This window comes from Homo sapiens, chromosome 15, assembly GCF_000001405.40.
Source record: "Homo sapiens chromosome 15, GRCh38.p14 Primary Assembly".
Lineage (NCBI taxonomy): Eukaryota > Metazoa > Chordata > Mammalia > Primates > Hominidae > Homo > Homo sapiens.
In genome coordinates, this window is record NC_000015.10 from 71922817 (window position 1) to 71939471 (window position 16655).

Here is a 16655-nt window from a genome sequence, read left to right on the forward strand (position 1 = left end):
TGTACTTAACATTAGGTAATTTAGTGTCTTCCTCCTTTCCAATTTCTATGCCTTTTTTTTCTTTCTCTTGCTTACTTGCTCTGGCTAGGACTTCCAGTACTATGTTGAATAGAGAAAGTGGTGAAAGCGGGCATCCTTGTCTTATTCTAGATCACAGAAGAAAAGCTTTCCATTTTTCCTTGTTTAGTATGCTGTCTGTGAGTCTGTCATGTGGTCTTTATTATGTTGAGGTACATCTGTTCTGTCTATATCATGAGAGTTTTTATCATGAATGAGTGTTGAATTTTGTCAGATGCTTTATCTGTGTCTATTGAAATAACTGTATAATTTTTTCCCTTAATTCTGTTAATGTATCACATTTACCGATTTGCATATGTTAAACCATTCTTGCATCCCTGGGATGAATCCCACTTAGTCATGATGTTATCTTTTTAATGTGCTATTGAATTTAGTTTCCTAGTAGTTTGTTGAGGATTTATGCATCCATGTTCAATCAGAGACACTGTCCTACAATTTTCTTTTTTGTTGTGTTCTTGTCTGGTTTTCTTATCAAGGCCTTGAAAATAAATTTGGAAGAATTCTCTCCTCTCCATTTTTCTGAAATAGTTTTAAAAGGACTGAGACTCATTCTTCTTCAAATGTTTGGTAGAATTGAGCAGTGAAGCTGTCATGTAATGGACTTTTCTTCAATGGGAGACTTTTTATTACTGATTTGAACTCAGAGTTGTTACTGGTTTCTTCAGATTTTCTATTCATGATTCAATTTTGGTAGGTTGTATGTGACTAGGAATTTACCCATTTCTTCTAGGTTTTCCAAATAGTTGCCTTATAGTTGTTAGTAATAGGCTCTTATGATCCCTTATATTTCTGTAATATCAGCCATAATGTCACCTTTTCACATCTCTGAATTTGAATCTTTTCCTTTTAAAATTTTGTCTAGCTAGAAATTTGTCGATTTTTATCTTTTCAAAACACTAACTCTTAATTTCATTAACGTTTTGTATTTTTAAGCCTCTATTTCACTTATTTCTGCTATGATCTTTATCATTTCTCTTCTTCTATTAACTTAAGGTTTATTTTGTTCTCATTTTTCCTAGTTCCTTGAGGAATAATGTTATTGGTGGTTTACTGGAGATCTTTCTCACTTACTAACGTAGACAATTATTGCTATAAACTTCCCCATTAGAACTGCTTTTGCTGTAGACCATAGGTTTTAGTACATTGCATTTGCATTCTCATTTCTTTAAATTTTTTTTTAATTTCCCTTTTAGTATCTCCTTTGACTCATTTGTAGTTCAGAAGCATGTTGTTTAAAAACTATTTGCATATAGTTTCTAAAGAACCTATTATTGATTTCTAGTTTAATCCCTTGTCACAAAAGATACTCCCCAACTTGAAATTTTGTTTATTATTATTATTATTATCATTATTGTTATTATTTTTGAGATGGAGTCTCGCTCTGTCACCCAGGTTGGAGCCCAGTGGCGTGATCTCGGCTCACTGCAAGCTCCACCTCCCAGGTTCAAGCCATTCTCCTGCCTCAGCCTCCTGAGTAGCTGGGAATACAGGCGCCTGCCACCATGCCTGGCTAAATTTTTTGTATTTTTAATAGAGACAGGGTTTTACCGTGTTAGGCAGGAGGGTCTCAATCTCCTGATCTCGTGACCTGCCCACCTTGGCCTCCCAAAGTGCTGGGATTACAGGTGTGAGCCAAGGCCCCCGGCTCCCAATTTGAAATTTTTTTAACTTATTGAGACTTGTTTTGTGGCCCAACACATGACATATCTTAAAGAAAGGTCCATGTGCTAATGAAAAAAATGTGGGCCAGGCGTGGTGGCTCACGCCTGTAATCCCAGCACTTTGAGAGGCCAAGATGGGTGGATCACCTGAGGTCAGGAATTCGTGACCAGCCTGACCAACATGGTGAAACCCCATCTCTACTAACTACAAAAAAGTAGCCGGGTGTGGTGACACATGCCTGTAACCCCAGCTATTTGGGAGGTTGAGGCAGGAGAATCGCTTGAACTCGGGAGGTGGAGATTGCAGCAAGCCGAGATCGTGTCACTGCACTCCAGTCTAGGTGAAGAATGAAACTTAGTCTCAAAAAAAAAAGAAAAAAAGAAAAAGAAAAAAATGTGTATTCTACAACTGCTGGGCAGAATGTTTTGTAAATGTCTGTTAGGTTCATATATCTTGAGTGCAGTTTAACTCTATCGTTCTTTGCTGATTTTCTGTCTGGTTGTCCTATCCATTGCTGAAAGTGGAGTGTTGATGTCCCCTATAATTACAGTATTGCTATCTCTCTCTCCCTTTAGGGCTAATAATATTTCCTTCACATATATACATGTGTATATATACACATATATACATGTGTATATATACACATATATACATGTGTATATATACACATATATACACATATATATACATATACGTATACACATATATACATATATACATATACGTATACACGTGTATGTACATATATACGTATATACGTATATGTACATATATACGTATATGTACATATATACTTACATGTATATATACATATATACGTATATACGTGTATATGGATATATACGTATATACATATCTATGTATATGTATATATAGATACGTATATACATGTATATCTATATATAACCTTTCTTCCTCTCTTACTATTTATCTGTCTGTTTTGGTGGTTTTCTGGAGAGTTAAGCTTTAATTCTTTTCTCTTTCTTATTTATGTATCTGCTGTCGTTTTGTTCTTTCAGGTTACTATGGGGCTTACATTTTAAAATCTTGTATTTATAATGGACTATTTTAAACAGATAACAACTTTGCATACAAATACGCTAGACTTTTATCCCCATCCCCCCACAATTTATAACTTGCTGCCTTAATTTACATCTTTTTAAAATCATGTGTTACTTAACATTTAATTGTAGCTATAGACATCACTTACCATTTTGAGTTATAACCATCATACTAGAGATTTAAAAGACTATATGCCACCATTACATTAATAATATATTCTGAGTTTGAAAGTGAAATTACCTCTAACAGTTCTAAATTGGATTCTGAATTGACTTCTACCAGTGAGTTTTATTCTTTTGCATATTTTTATCACGGTAGTTATCTTACCATATTTCTTGTGTCCCCGTATTGACCTGTGCCATTAGGTGAAACAGCTGCCTCTTCCAATTTTATGGGGTAACTTTCTTAAGAAGACATTTTCTGTAGATGGATCCTAAGGTGGTAAATGGGTAGGGTGCTTTAGCTTTGGTTCTAGGTAGGTGCAGCAGTGTAGTCTCTGTGTAATTTCTTTACCTGTAGTCAACATCCGATGTTACTGCCTCAGTGACTTAGGCTACGGGTGTTTACAAAGTTGGTGTGCTTTTCCAGTACTATGTTGGTGCCACCAAGCAAGCCAGTCCTCTGGTCCTGGGGGGCATGCGCAAGGCATGAGTGACAGTTCCAAGCCATGCACCGTGGTATATGCCTATAATCCCAGCAACTTGGGAGGCTGAGGCTGGAGGATCACTTGAACTGAGGAGTTCAAGTCCAGACAGGGCAACATAATGAGACCCTGCATATTTTTGTTTGTTTGTTTTAAAGTGCAGTGGGCCAGACACAGTGGTTCACACCTGTAACCCCAGCACTTTGGGAGGCCGAGGCAGAAAGACTGCTTGAGGTCAGAAGTTCAAGACAAGTTCAGGCAATAGAGTGAGATCCTGTCTACCAAAAACAGAAAAATTAGCCGGGCATGGTGGTACATGCCTATATTTCCAGCTACTTGGGAGGCTAAGGCACGAGAACTGATTGAGCTTGGGAGGTAGAGGCTGCAGTGAGCCACGATCGTACCACTGTACTCCAGCCTGGGTGACAGTGTGGCTGTGGGGAAAGCCGCCACACAAGCTATCTTGATGCCAAGGGTGTATGTCCAAAGCATGGTTGTTCTAGCAAATGAAAAGGCAGTGTCACCAGGAGCAGAGCTACCAGACAGCCTGGCCCTCAGACCCTGCAGGGTACACATGCAAAGCATAGTGGTTCTGTAGGTTTCAGAGGTGGCATCATTGGATACACACCAGTCCACTGGCTCTGGAAGGCACACACAAAATGCACCAGTTCAGCCAGTTGTAGGGACAGCGTCATCAGGGGTGGGGATGCTGGGTGGGCTGGCCCTCAGGACCTGGGTAAGAGTACAAATCCACTCATCATGGGGGTGGCATTGGCAAGAGTGGGGCCACCAAGTGGGCCCATCCTCAGGCCCTCGGGGAGGGCACAAATCCAATGATCACAGGAGCTGCACTGTCAGGGGTGGGGCTGCCAGGTAGGCTGATCCTCAGGCCCTAAGACATTTCTTTGGCAAAATGTCTTTTGGCTATTTTTAAATTAAATTATTTGCTTTTTTGCTATTAAGTTGTTTGGACTGCTTATATATTCTAGACATTAACCCACTGCCATATGCATAGTCTGCAAATATTTTCTCCCATTTACAGTTTGTCTCATCATTCTGTTGATTAGTTCCTTTGCTGTGCAGAAGCTTTTGAGTTTGATGCAATCCCATTTGTCTATTACTGCTTTCGTTATCTGTGTTTTGGGGGTCATAGTCAAGAAATCAACAGCCAGACCAATGTCATAGAGTTTTCCCCGTATGTTTTATTCTACAATTGTCCCTCAATATCCATGGGGATTGGTTCCAGAACCACGCTGAGATAACAAAATATGTACATACTCAAATCCCATGGCCGGCCCTGCAGAACCCACAGGTACAAAAAGTTGGTCCTCCATAAGGGTGGATTTTGCATCTCACAAATACCATATTTTGATCCACATTTGGTCACAGATGTAGATCCCCCTGATATGGATGACTGTATTTATTTTTTTTAAACCCATGTATAAGCGGACCTGCACAGCTCAAACCTGTGTTCAAGTTTAACAGTTTCAGGTCTTATATTTAAGTCTTTAACCTACTTGGTTGGATTTTTTATGTGGGGTGAGATATGGTCCCAATTTCATTCTTCTACATGTGGATATCCAGTTTTCCCAACATCATTTATTGAAGAGACTATACTTTACTCATTGTGTGTCCTTGGCACCTTTGTTTAAAGTCAACTAACCATAAATGTACGGGTTTACTTCTGAGCTTTTAATACTTTTCCATTGGTTAATGTATATTTTCTTCTGCCAGCTCCATGCTGTTTTGATTACAATACCTTTCTAATATATATATATATATATATATATATATATTTTTTTTTTTTTTTTTTTTTTTTTTTTTTTTGAGGCGGAGTCTCGCTCTGTCGCCCAGGCCGGACTGCGGACTGCAGTGGCGCAATCTCGGCTCACTGCAAGCTCCGCTTCCCGGGTTCACGCCATTCTCCTGCCTCAGCCTCCCGAGTAGCTGGGACTACAGGCGCCCGCCACTACGCCCGGCTAATTTTTTGTATTTTTAGTAGAGACGGGGTTTCACCTTGTTAGCCAGGATAGTCTCGATCTCCTGACCTCATGATCCACCCGCCTCGGCCTCCCAAAGTGCTGTCTAATATATTTTTAAATCAGGTAGTGTGAGCCTCCATCCAGCTTTGTTCTTTTTGTTCAAGATTGCTTTGGCTATTTGGGGTTTTTTTGTGTATTCATATGAATTTCAGGATTTTTTTTATTTCTGTGAAAAATGAAAATGGAATGTTATAGGGATTGCACTGAATCAGTGAATCACTCTGGGCAATATGGAGATTTTAACAATATTAATTTTTCCAACCCACTAACACAGGATATCATTTTTCATTTGTGTTGTCTTCAATTTCTTTCATCAATGTTTTATGATTTTTTTGTATACAGATTTTTAACCTCTTTGGTTGAATTTACTATAAAATAGTTTATATTTTTTGATGCTATTGTAAATGGGATGGTTTCCTTAATTTCTTTTTCAGATAGTTCATTTTTAGTTTATAAAATGCTACTGATTTTTAGGCTGGGTGCAGTGGCTCATGACTGTAATTCTAGTACTTTAGGAGGCCAAAGCAGGAAAATCATTTGAGGCTAAGACTTTAAGACCAGCCTGGGCAACACAGAGAAAGAAGATTCCATCTCTACGAGAAAAAAAAAAAAAATTTAATAGCCAGATGTGGTAGCATGCACCTGCAGTCCTAGCTACTGAGGAGGCTGAGGTGGAAGGATTGCTTGAACCCATGAGTTCAAGGTACAGTGAGCTACAATCATGCCACTGCACTTCAGCCTGAGTGGCAGAGTGATACACTGTCTCTATTAAAAAAAAAAAAAAAGCAAGAAACACTGCTGATTTTTGTATGTTGACTTTGTATCCTGAAACATTACTGAAGTACATTACGGAATTTATATATCAGTTCTAACAGCTTTTTAGTGGGGTCTTGAGGATTTTCTATATAACATTATGTTGTTGACAACCACAATATCACTTCTTCCTTTTGAATCTGGATGCCTTTTATTTCTTTTTATTACCTAATTTCTGTGGCTAACAATTCCAGTAATACACTGAATTGAAGTGTAACAGAAGTGGTGACAGTGGGCATCCTTTTCTTGTTCCTGATCCTAAGAGTAAAGCTTTCAACTTTTCACCAATGAGTATAATGTCAGCTGTGGGCTTGTCACATATCGCCTAATTATATTGAGGAACAGTCCTTCTATACCTAATTCGTTGAGCTTTTATCATGACAGGTTGAATTTTGTCAAATTCTTTTTCTGCATGTGTTGAAATGACAGTATGGTTTTTGCTATTCACTGTGTTAATATGATAAATCACATTTATTGATTTGCATATATTGAACCATTCTTGTATCGCAAGAATAAACCCCAACTGATCATGGTAAATGATCCTTTCAATGTCGTATTGAATATGGTGTAGTAGCATTTTGATGAAGATATCTGCACTATTTACAACAGCAAAGACTACTGTGAATAGTGCTGCAATGAATGTACAGGTGCATGTGTTTTTGGTAGAACAATTTATTTTCCTTTGAGCATGCACCCAGTCATGGCACTGCTGGGTTGAATGGGAGTTCAACTCTTAGTTCTTTGTGAAATCTCCAAACTTCTCCGTAGTAGCTGAACTAATTTTCTTGTAGTACTTTCGTATGGCTTTGCTATCAGGGTAATGCTGGCCTTATAAAATGAGTTTGAGGTATTCTCTCCAGTTCAATTTTTTGAAAGAGTTTGAATAGGACTGGTATTCATTTTTATTTAAATGTTTGGTAGTGTTGCATCATGAAACTATCTGGTCCTGGGCTAATCTTTTATGAAAGAATTTCTATTGCTGGCCAGGCATGGTGGCTCAATGCCTGTAATGTCCTGAAGAATGTCCTATGTATGCTTCAGACGAATGTGTATTCTGCTGCTGTTGACTGAAATGTTCTGTATATGTCTATTAAATGCATTTGGTCCACTGTTTTCTTCAAATCCATTGTTTCCTTATTGATTTTTGGTGTGGATGGTCTGTTCATTGTTGAAAGTGGGGTACTGAAATCCCCTAGGATTACTGTATTGTAGTTTATCTCTCTCTTCAGATGTCTCAATATTTGCTTCATGCTTTTAGATGCTACAATGTTGGGTGCATATATATTTAAAATTGTTACATCCTTTTGATGACCATACCCCTTTTTATTATTATATGTTGACCTTCTTTATCTCATCTACAGTTTTTGACTTTATTTTGTCTGTTATAAGGATAACTACTGTTGCTCTCTTTAGGTTTTCATTTGCGTGGGATACTTTTTTCCATCCCTTAATGTTCATTCTCTGTACATCGTTAAAGCTAAAGTGAGTCTCTCGCAGGTAGCATATAGATGAGTCTCTCTTTTTTTAATGCATTCAGGCACTCTGTGGCTTTTAATTGGAGAATTTAATCCATTTACATTCAAACCAGTTATTGATAGGTAAAGATTTACTAGTGCCACTTTGTTCATTATTTTATCATTTTGTAGAGCCTTTCTTCCAATAATTCTGTCTTCCCTTTGTGGTTTGATGGTTTTCTATAGCAGTATGACTTCCATCCTTTTATCTTTTGTGTATCCACTAAAGGTGGTCACCTTGAGGCTTACATAAAAAGCCAGTCATATACTTACAACTGGCTATTTTATGCTTACAAAAACTAAACTTTCATTGCATGCATAAACCCTACACTTTTACTCACCCTTCATGTTTTATCTTTTTGATGTTACATTTTATATCTTTTTATAATTTGTGTCCCTTCACAAACTATTGTAGCTGCCATTGTTTCAACAGTTTTGTATTTCAACCTTTATACTAGAGATATCATTGATTTACACACTGGCATCACATAATTAAAATGTTTGAATTAGACAGTGTACTTACTTTTATCAGTGAGTTTTCTGCTTTCATGTTCTCATGGTACTAATTATCACTGTCCTTTAGCTTGAAGAACTTTCTTTAGAGAACTCTCAAGAAAGAAGTTCAAGAAAGTAGAACTCTACTTGTAAGTCAGGTCTAGCAGTGCTGAATTCCCTTAGCCATCATTTGTCTGAGAAAGTTGTTATCTCCTTTTCATTTTTGAAAGACAAAATTGCTGGGCATAGTACTATGGTTGGCAGGTCTTTTTTCTCAGAGGATTTTGAATCCCACTAACTCTGGCATGCAAGGTTTCTCATGAAAAATCTGATGATAGTCTTGTGGGGGACCCTTGTATTTAACATGTTGCTTTTTCATTGTTGCTTTTTAAAAAATACTCTGTCTTTAATTTTTGACAAATTGATTATAACATGTCTTAATAAGGATCTCTTTGGATGGATAGTATTCGGTGTCCTTTGAATTTTCTAGATCTGGAGTTCTATTTCCCCAGGCTTGAGTAGTTTTCTGCCTTTACATCTTTGAAAGTGTTTTCTCTCACTTTTTCTTTCTTCTCCTTCAGGTATTTTTTGAATTTATCTTGTTTCTCTATTTGGAACATACTTCCCCATTTCTTCATTTGCCTTTACCCTCTGTGTTGTTTTCTGCACATTAGATAACCTAATAGCTTCTCCCAATCTTGTTTAGTGTAGAAGAACCTAACCAGTCAGTCTGGCCAGAAATTCTAGGGTACCTCTCAAACCTTTGTGTTTGTCCAAACTGCTGCCTTTGTTTTTTGTTGTCTCCAGGAAATTAGGATGTGCCAAGTTCCGTTAGTACCTCAAAAGTCTGGCCAGAAATTCTAGGGTACCTCTCAAACCTTTGTGTTTGTCCAAACTGCTGCCTTTGTTTTTTGTTGTCTCCAGGAAATTAGGATGTGCCAAGTTCCGTTAGTACCTCAAAACATTTGAGAGAGAAGTCATTCCCCCTAGACACAGCTAGAAAGGTTGAAGTGTTAAGTGTGTTCCAGTTCCTTCTATCCTCGTGGTGAAGCTGACAGTAGGATTCTCTCTGCACTACGCTGAAGAGAGGAATTCTAGCAAACGTCTATATTTTAGATCAGACTGCATTATCTCATCTTGGGGGAAAAAAGTGGGCCCACTGAATGCCCATTTATTTGTTTTCAGTGGTCTAGAGACTCAGAAATTCAGTGTCCCATCAATTCCCAGAACTATAAGGTTAAGGCGGCTATCCCTTGGGAGGGAGCAGTGGCAGCTGTGATCAATCCATGAATAAACTCCTTCCAAGGATAATCTACAGAGATAATCTGCTCTAGCTTTATTGCTGGAGCAAGCCAGATGAAAAAACTCAGGAAACGCTGGAACTCACAGTCAGTATCCCAGGGTTCTGCTGTTTCTTTGCCCATTGGCTACTAGATGCAGCCTAGAGAGGAGCCCAATCCTCAAACAATGGCTAGAGAAGTATACAGACAAACCCCTTCCAGAAATTAACTGGGGAGTGTGCTTTTTAACTGCTTATCTGCATTGATCCAGGGGGCTGTAGTCCCTGGAAATGTCTGTGTGTTTAAAACCACCTCTTTGTTCTCTGTCACTGCAATTCATATTTTCTAAGATTTATATACAGTATCTACTACTGCATGTAATTATTTTGAGATTCATTCACGTTGTTACACGCATCAATAGTTTATTCATTTTTATTGGTGAGTTAAGTATTCAATTATATGGATATACCACAGTGTGTTTATCCATATTTCTGTTGATGAAAGTTTGAGTTGCTTCAAGTTTTTTGCTATTACAAATAAAGCTGCTATACACATTAATAAAACAAACAAAGCAAAATGAAACAACAACCCCTGCAAAAAAATAAAAAAATAAAAAAAAACCAGAGCTATATTAACAGAGGGGCAAGTACTGCTCACCAAATCCTGCCCACTATTTATATATTGTTTATATGGGTTAAAATAATAATATTTTATGGCATGTGAAAAATTATATAAAATTCAATTTTCAGTGTCCATTAACAAAGTTTTATTGGAATGCAAATTATAGCTGCATTTCTGCTACAACAGCAGAGCCAACTAGTTATATCAGAAACCATAAGCCTGAAAAGACAATGTCCCTTTATAGAAAAACCTGGCAAACATTTATTATAGATAATTGGATTAGGTGAGCACTAATCAGAAATTATTTTAAAATCAGGTACCATTCAGAATTTGACCTTAACTTGGCTCAAGGAGAAATGAAAAGACCTTACATAAAGAGGCAATAACTAAACAACATTTATATTCAGGAGCTATTAAAACGCTAGAAAATGGTATATATCACAAATAAATATTTACCTGAACCATTAGGCTCAGCCATTTCATAACAGTGTTATTTCTAAAATGGATTCAACTAAGTGCACGATCACTATCTTGGATACAAATAAGGTTATTTCTTGTTTTTTGATGTATGAAGATTGTATGAGTAATAAAAAATAATTGTGTAGCAGAATACCAATACAAAAAAAGTTTTCATAGTACTCACCTTTGGAAGGGCAGGCTTGGATTTGAAATTTTTGTTTCTCCTATAGAGATAAATCATTCATTAAAAAAAGCTACTGTATAAAAACAAAAACAAAAGCTACTGTAGAGAAGAAAGATTTCAAGGTCTCTCCTAAAACAACAGATTATATACCCATTACCAAGACTGTAGGTTCTTTATATGAAAACACTATCTGATTCAGCCAAGCAGGCACCTTGGGAAGGAAGAATAAACAAGGAAAAGATACCTGCCTTGTTATATAAGTATAAACAGATTTACACCTGATGATTAGTAACACTGTGTTGTACATTCTAAGCCACAGGTTCATTTTCTTCAGTTGTTAGTAGTTTCTTGTACCTACAGAAGACTTATTTCTATCATATCAAAACTAAATGAGATGTCTAAGTTTCATAAATTTTAAAAAAACGTACTTATCACCAAAACGTAATCTTCCATTTTTGGTAATTAAAAATTCTATTCCACTCATTTTTTTCCTTATTCAAACCTCAATACCATACTTAAATCAAGTCTTTTTAATTTATTTTTAGCCTTTTTTATGGCCACAGAAAAGAAGGAATAAAGTCCAACGCTTATGAATATGGGCTGGGAAGTTAGAAAGACCTGGACAACAATCTATGGTCTACCATCTATTAAGGTATGATTTTAACCTCTTTAACTTTTCATTATGTAATAATGTAAAACAGGGAGGACAATACTACCTATAACTTAAAAGTTGTTGTGAGGATTAAATGAGTTAATGTATATCTCTGGGCTAGAGCAAGACCTACATAAATAGAACCTACTAATATTATTAAGCAGTGATTCAGACAAGGATTATGGAATCCAATTCAGTCACACCTCTAGCTAGCGGTCAAACGATATGCTTGGGAAATATCTAAAACATGTTAATGCTAATAACTAATAACTTTTTTTCCTTTTTTTTTTTTTCTCAGAGACAGGATGTTAATCGGTTGCCCAGGCTGAAGTGCAATGGCAAGATCATGACTCATTGCAGCCTCAACTTCCTTGGCTCAACTGATCCTCCTACCTCAGTCTCCTGAGTAGCTGGAACTACATGCATGCACTACCACACCTGGCTAATTTTTTTTCTTTTCTTTTCTTTTTTTTTTTTTTTTTTTTTTTTTGGAGAGATGGGGTCTCTATGAAGCATGGTAGAGAATGGTTATAGCTATGTCTTCAAACCAACTCTGTAATCAGTTAATGAGAAATGGAAAGCTTGGATAAGTGTTATATATCACTCAACCATTCACCATTTATAGATTTTCTTGCCTAATTTGTTAAGATTGCTAGAATTAATGGATAATTATAGTAAAAATTGGGAATCCTAAAAGGAGCTAACAGTTTTTTCTTTCTCTGAAGGTAGGGCCTGTCTAAACAATAAGACCTTTATTATCATCTCCATAACAAATATACTCAGTCATGATTCTCCTGGTAATATGGGGGAGAAAAATCAACAAAAACACAAGCTTTATAACACATGAGATTCATGGCTGTAAACGCTACCTAAATAACTTTGAGTCTTGTTTCAGTCAAAATTCTTCCCATGAAAATAACATTTCACCATCTTCCTTCTTCATTTTTTTCTGCCAGAAATTTTAAACCAGACAAAAAACAAAAAACAAAAAACAATTTACATTACTGATTAGTACTGACGTGAGAATTCCATGGGCTCTCTCCAGGAGTTTGCTGCTAGTTGAATTAGCAAATATTCCATCTTTATCAAGCAAGGAGGTGCCACTTGATAGTCTGCTCTGGCGAATCCCAGTTCTGCCATTCCAGGCAATATCAAATGTATCACTGTAAAAAATATAATTTGCTTTAGTTAATGAAGACGTCTCTAACACTATACTGCTTAAATAAGTAAAATAAAACTTTAAATACTAAAGTTAAAATTTAGAAAAAAATGCTAAACCAACCAAAAACTGATTTCATCCAAATGACTGCCAATCAGTTGGGACTAACCGTTGTCTCATTCAGAACAAATTCCTATGAATTCCATCATATTCACATACAAACGTGCATGTAGATGAGCATATCATGTAGCTGATATCTTTAAATATATTATCATTCAACAACTAGTAACTAATAAAATGGATTATAGTATCTTCCCTCTTTGTTAGATTTTAGAATTTTCAAATGCTACTATAGGAATTTGTCATCCTAATACACTATCCCATCCTATGGAATATCTAATTTCCTCCTGAAAGGTCTTATTTACACACACACACACACACACACACACACTCACTACTCACACACCCATTAAACTAAGTCCTATGAGACTCTAAACATTGCAGATATAGCAATGAACAAAACATAACACTATCACAGTGATTGTAACATCATAATTAATGGAGGACTCACCAGGTAAAGTAGTAGTATCCAACAACAAATGAATGGATAAAGAAAATGTGGTATATACATACAATGGAATGCTATTCAGTCATTAAAAAAAGAATAAAATCCTATCATTTGGACAACATGGACAAACATAGAGTACATTATGTTAACTGAAATAAGCCAGACACAGAAAGACAAATACTGCATGACCCCACTCGTATGTGGAATCTAAATAAGCTGCTCTCACAGAAGTACTGAATAGAGCAGTGATTACCAGAGACTGGAAAAGGTAATGAGGTGGAGGGGTGCAGTAAGCAGAGAGGTTGGTCAATGGGTACGAAGTTACAGTAAGACAACAGGAATAAATTGTGGTCCTCTATTGCACAATGAAGTGATTATAGTTAACAATAAGGTATTGTATACCTGAAAACAGCTAGAAGACAGAATTTTGAAAGAGAAATGTTCCCACCACAAAAAAATGACACATATTTGAGACGACGAATATGGTAATTATTTTAATTTGATCATTACACAATGTATACAGGTATCAAAACATCACACTGTACCTGATAATATGTATAATTATTATGAGTGAACTAAAAATTTTTTAAAAGAAGTATCAGGAGATAGCTACTTACAACAATTTCACATTTGTCCATATTTATAAATCTCAGCTTCCATTTGCTTAGAGCATTTATTCAAGATATATAAATGGCATGTAATCAATAAACCATTTAGAAACGCTTGTATTTTCATTATTTTGTGCTAAACCATTAAAAAAAAGTCAGTGAATCATCATCCCTAAGATAATGTGTCTTCCCAAATGGGAGAATCATACTGCACTTAAGATGGTTTGTGTGTGCACTTATATTTTTCTCATTTACAAAAATGAGTGGTACTCTGGCTTTAGAAAAAAAAAAAAGAAAACAAAAGGAGAGAGAGAGGAGAGAGTGAGAGGAAGGAAGGAAGCAAGTGAGGGAAGAAGGAAAGCAGGAAGGAAGGAAAAACGAAGGGAGGGAGGGAGGGAGAGGGAGGAAAAAATGCAGTAGGAAAATACATTCCTGGTGAAGATACTGTGAAAAGTGTTGAAATGACAACATATTCTGCAGTAGGGACTGTGAGGAAAAAATTCTTTTAAAAAAAGAAAACAGAGGATTCAAAGCATTATAGAAATTGAGTTGATAAAGCAGTGGCAGGGTTTGAGAGGATTGACTCCAATTCTGGAGTTCTACTGTGGATAAAAGGCTATCAAACAGCATTGGATGCTACAGGGAAATCTTTCCTGTAAGGAAGAGGCAACTGATGTGCAAATTTCATTGTCTTATTTTAAGAAATTGCCATAGCCACTCCAATTTTCAGCATCCACCACCTTAAACAGTCAGCAGCCATCAACATCAAGGAAAGACCCTCTACCAGCAAAAAGATTATGACTCACTGAAGGCTCAGATGATTGTTATTTTTTTTAGCAACAAAGTATTTTTTAATTAAGGTGTGTATGTATTTTTTAAACATAATACTATTGCACAATTGACAGACTACAGTATAGTGTAAACATAACTTTTATATGCACTGGGAAACCGAAAAATTTGTGTGATTTGTTTTACTGAGAATTCGTTTTATTGTGGTGGTCTGGAACTGAACCAGAAACCCATATAGATCACTTCAGGTATCCAAAATGGAAAGTACAAAGAAAGAAGCACAAACTAGAAATTAGGAAACTTAAAACCACTAAACTGCTTTGTGAAATGAGGCATATTGCGGTTTCTTTTTTATATAATCAAGAAAATTGGGTTCCCATCTGATGACCAGGGTGAGAATACTGCCAACAGATGAAACTGAAGGTACACAGGTCAAGGTTAACTATCTAATTTGTGTTCGGGTAAAATTTAACATGCAAATATGGTGGTAGATACCATAGTTAGCCAAATACTACTGTTAAGAAAACAAAGGACATACAATATAAAGATAGCAAATAGCTTAATTTGTGGCATTCAAAGTGAATATATTTGTGGCTAGATACTTGGGCTGTGACAGATCTTGCATATGAAGTTAGTGAACCTAGACTTTTAAATAAGCAATAAAGAGTCATGAAAAAGTTACTGAGCAGACAAGTGACAATTATGTATTAGAAAGACACGGTGACTCAATTGGAAAAAATGATCAATGAAGTTATACCTTCATTTTAATGACAGACCATCCTTATTACCACAGTATTAGGAAGCTCAATTTTTTGATGATGTTTAAAACATACAGAATACATTCTAGAAACAATGTTCTCCTCATACAAATTACAATCTTTATTAAATAGTATATATAAAAAACAAAATTTTATGAACTCATAAAATTATTTATATTTGTTACTGTCAAATTGTTCTCAGGAATTCATCATTGAAAATAGTAAAAGGTAAGCTTTGGTAATCGCACTCACCCAAAAAAGGTATTGGATGGTTTGATGTAAATCAAACTATTCAATTATTACTTCCCAATAAGATTTCTCCACAGAAAGCAGCGGAATAACCCTTAAATTTTGTAAAAGACATAAAATGCAAGAAGGGTCTCAGCAATTAAAATATATGAGCTCATTTTAAGTTATTCTGAAGAAACTTTTTCAAAATTGTAAAGCCATTTTACCAGAAGCAACTGTAGACAAATCTTGTTAACTTTAACCTATTAATGTGTTATTACATCACTTATAAAGGATTCAAGAAATAAAAAAACAAAACAAGCCTGAATTACTTCAAACTTTTAAAGTCACAAAAATATCAATAAGAATGTTAGTTATTTCTTCTATACGTCCTTGAAAACATAAACCAAACACACTTACTGTTGGTTTTTTTCATTTAGAGCATTCATGCCCTGGAGATCAGAAAGAGGTGTTCTGGGATTTTTCCGGGTTATACCTAGCAAAATTTAAAAAACAGAAAATTTCAAATCAGTGCAAAGAAAAATGAAACGTGAAATAGTTTTTCTAAAGACAAACGAAAATTTAATCACGAGTATTTGCTAAATATTTCAGAAATATCTAAATAATTACATGACCCAAGTCTCATAACTGTCATAGATCTTAGTTAACAATGAACCCAATTAGAAAATTTAATAATGAAATATTTTCTTCTTTCATTGAATCATTAACTTCAGAAAATACAAGGGTGACTGGACTGAAGGCCTAGAAGTGTACAAGTTCATTTTTATTTTTAGGTTCAGGGGGTACACATGAAGGTTTGTTACAAAGGTAAACTCATGTAACGGGGGTTTGTTGTGCAGATTATTTCACCCAGGTACTAAGCCCAGTACTCAATAGCTATTTTTTCTGCTCCTCTCCCTCCTCCCAACCTCCATCTTCAACTAGACCTCACTGTCTGTTGTTTCCTTCGTGTTCATAAGTTTTTATCATTTAGCTCCCACTTATAAGTGAGAATATGCAGTATTTGGTTTTCTGTTCCT

The 16655-nt window shown here is 35.9% G+C and overlaps 1 protein-coding gene and 1 long non-coding RNA gene across 51 annotated transcripts in view; both read right to left on the bottom strand.

Annotated features, from left to right (window-relative positions):
- The window catches only part of MYO9A (myosin IXA), a 296310-nt gene that overhangs the window by 100526 nt on the left and 179129 nt on the right, over positions 1 to 16655 (bottom strand). For all 50 annotated transcript variants that reach the window (XM_047432576.1, XM_047432553.1, XM_047432585.1 and 47 more), the window contains 3 exons: positions 16036 to 16111; positions 12525 to 12668; positions 10854 to 10893 (listed from right to left, as the gene is read on the bottom strand). In XM_047432576.1, coding sequence (XP_047288532.1) covers positions 10854 to 10893; positions 12525 to 12668; positions 16036 to 16111 — 260 coding nt within the window. The remainder of the gene's footprint in view (positions 1 to 10853; positions 10894 to 12524; positions 12669 to 16035; positions 16112 to 16655) is intronic.
- Positions 1048 to 10831, bottom strand: LOC107984713 (uncharacterized). The gene is made up of 2 exons (XR_001751795.2): positions 9265 to 10831; positions 1048 to 9147 (listed from the first exon to the last, which is right to left on the bottom strand). It is a non-coding gene; the product is annotated as an uncharacterized LOC107984713 (long non-coding RNA).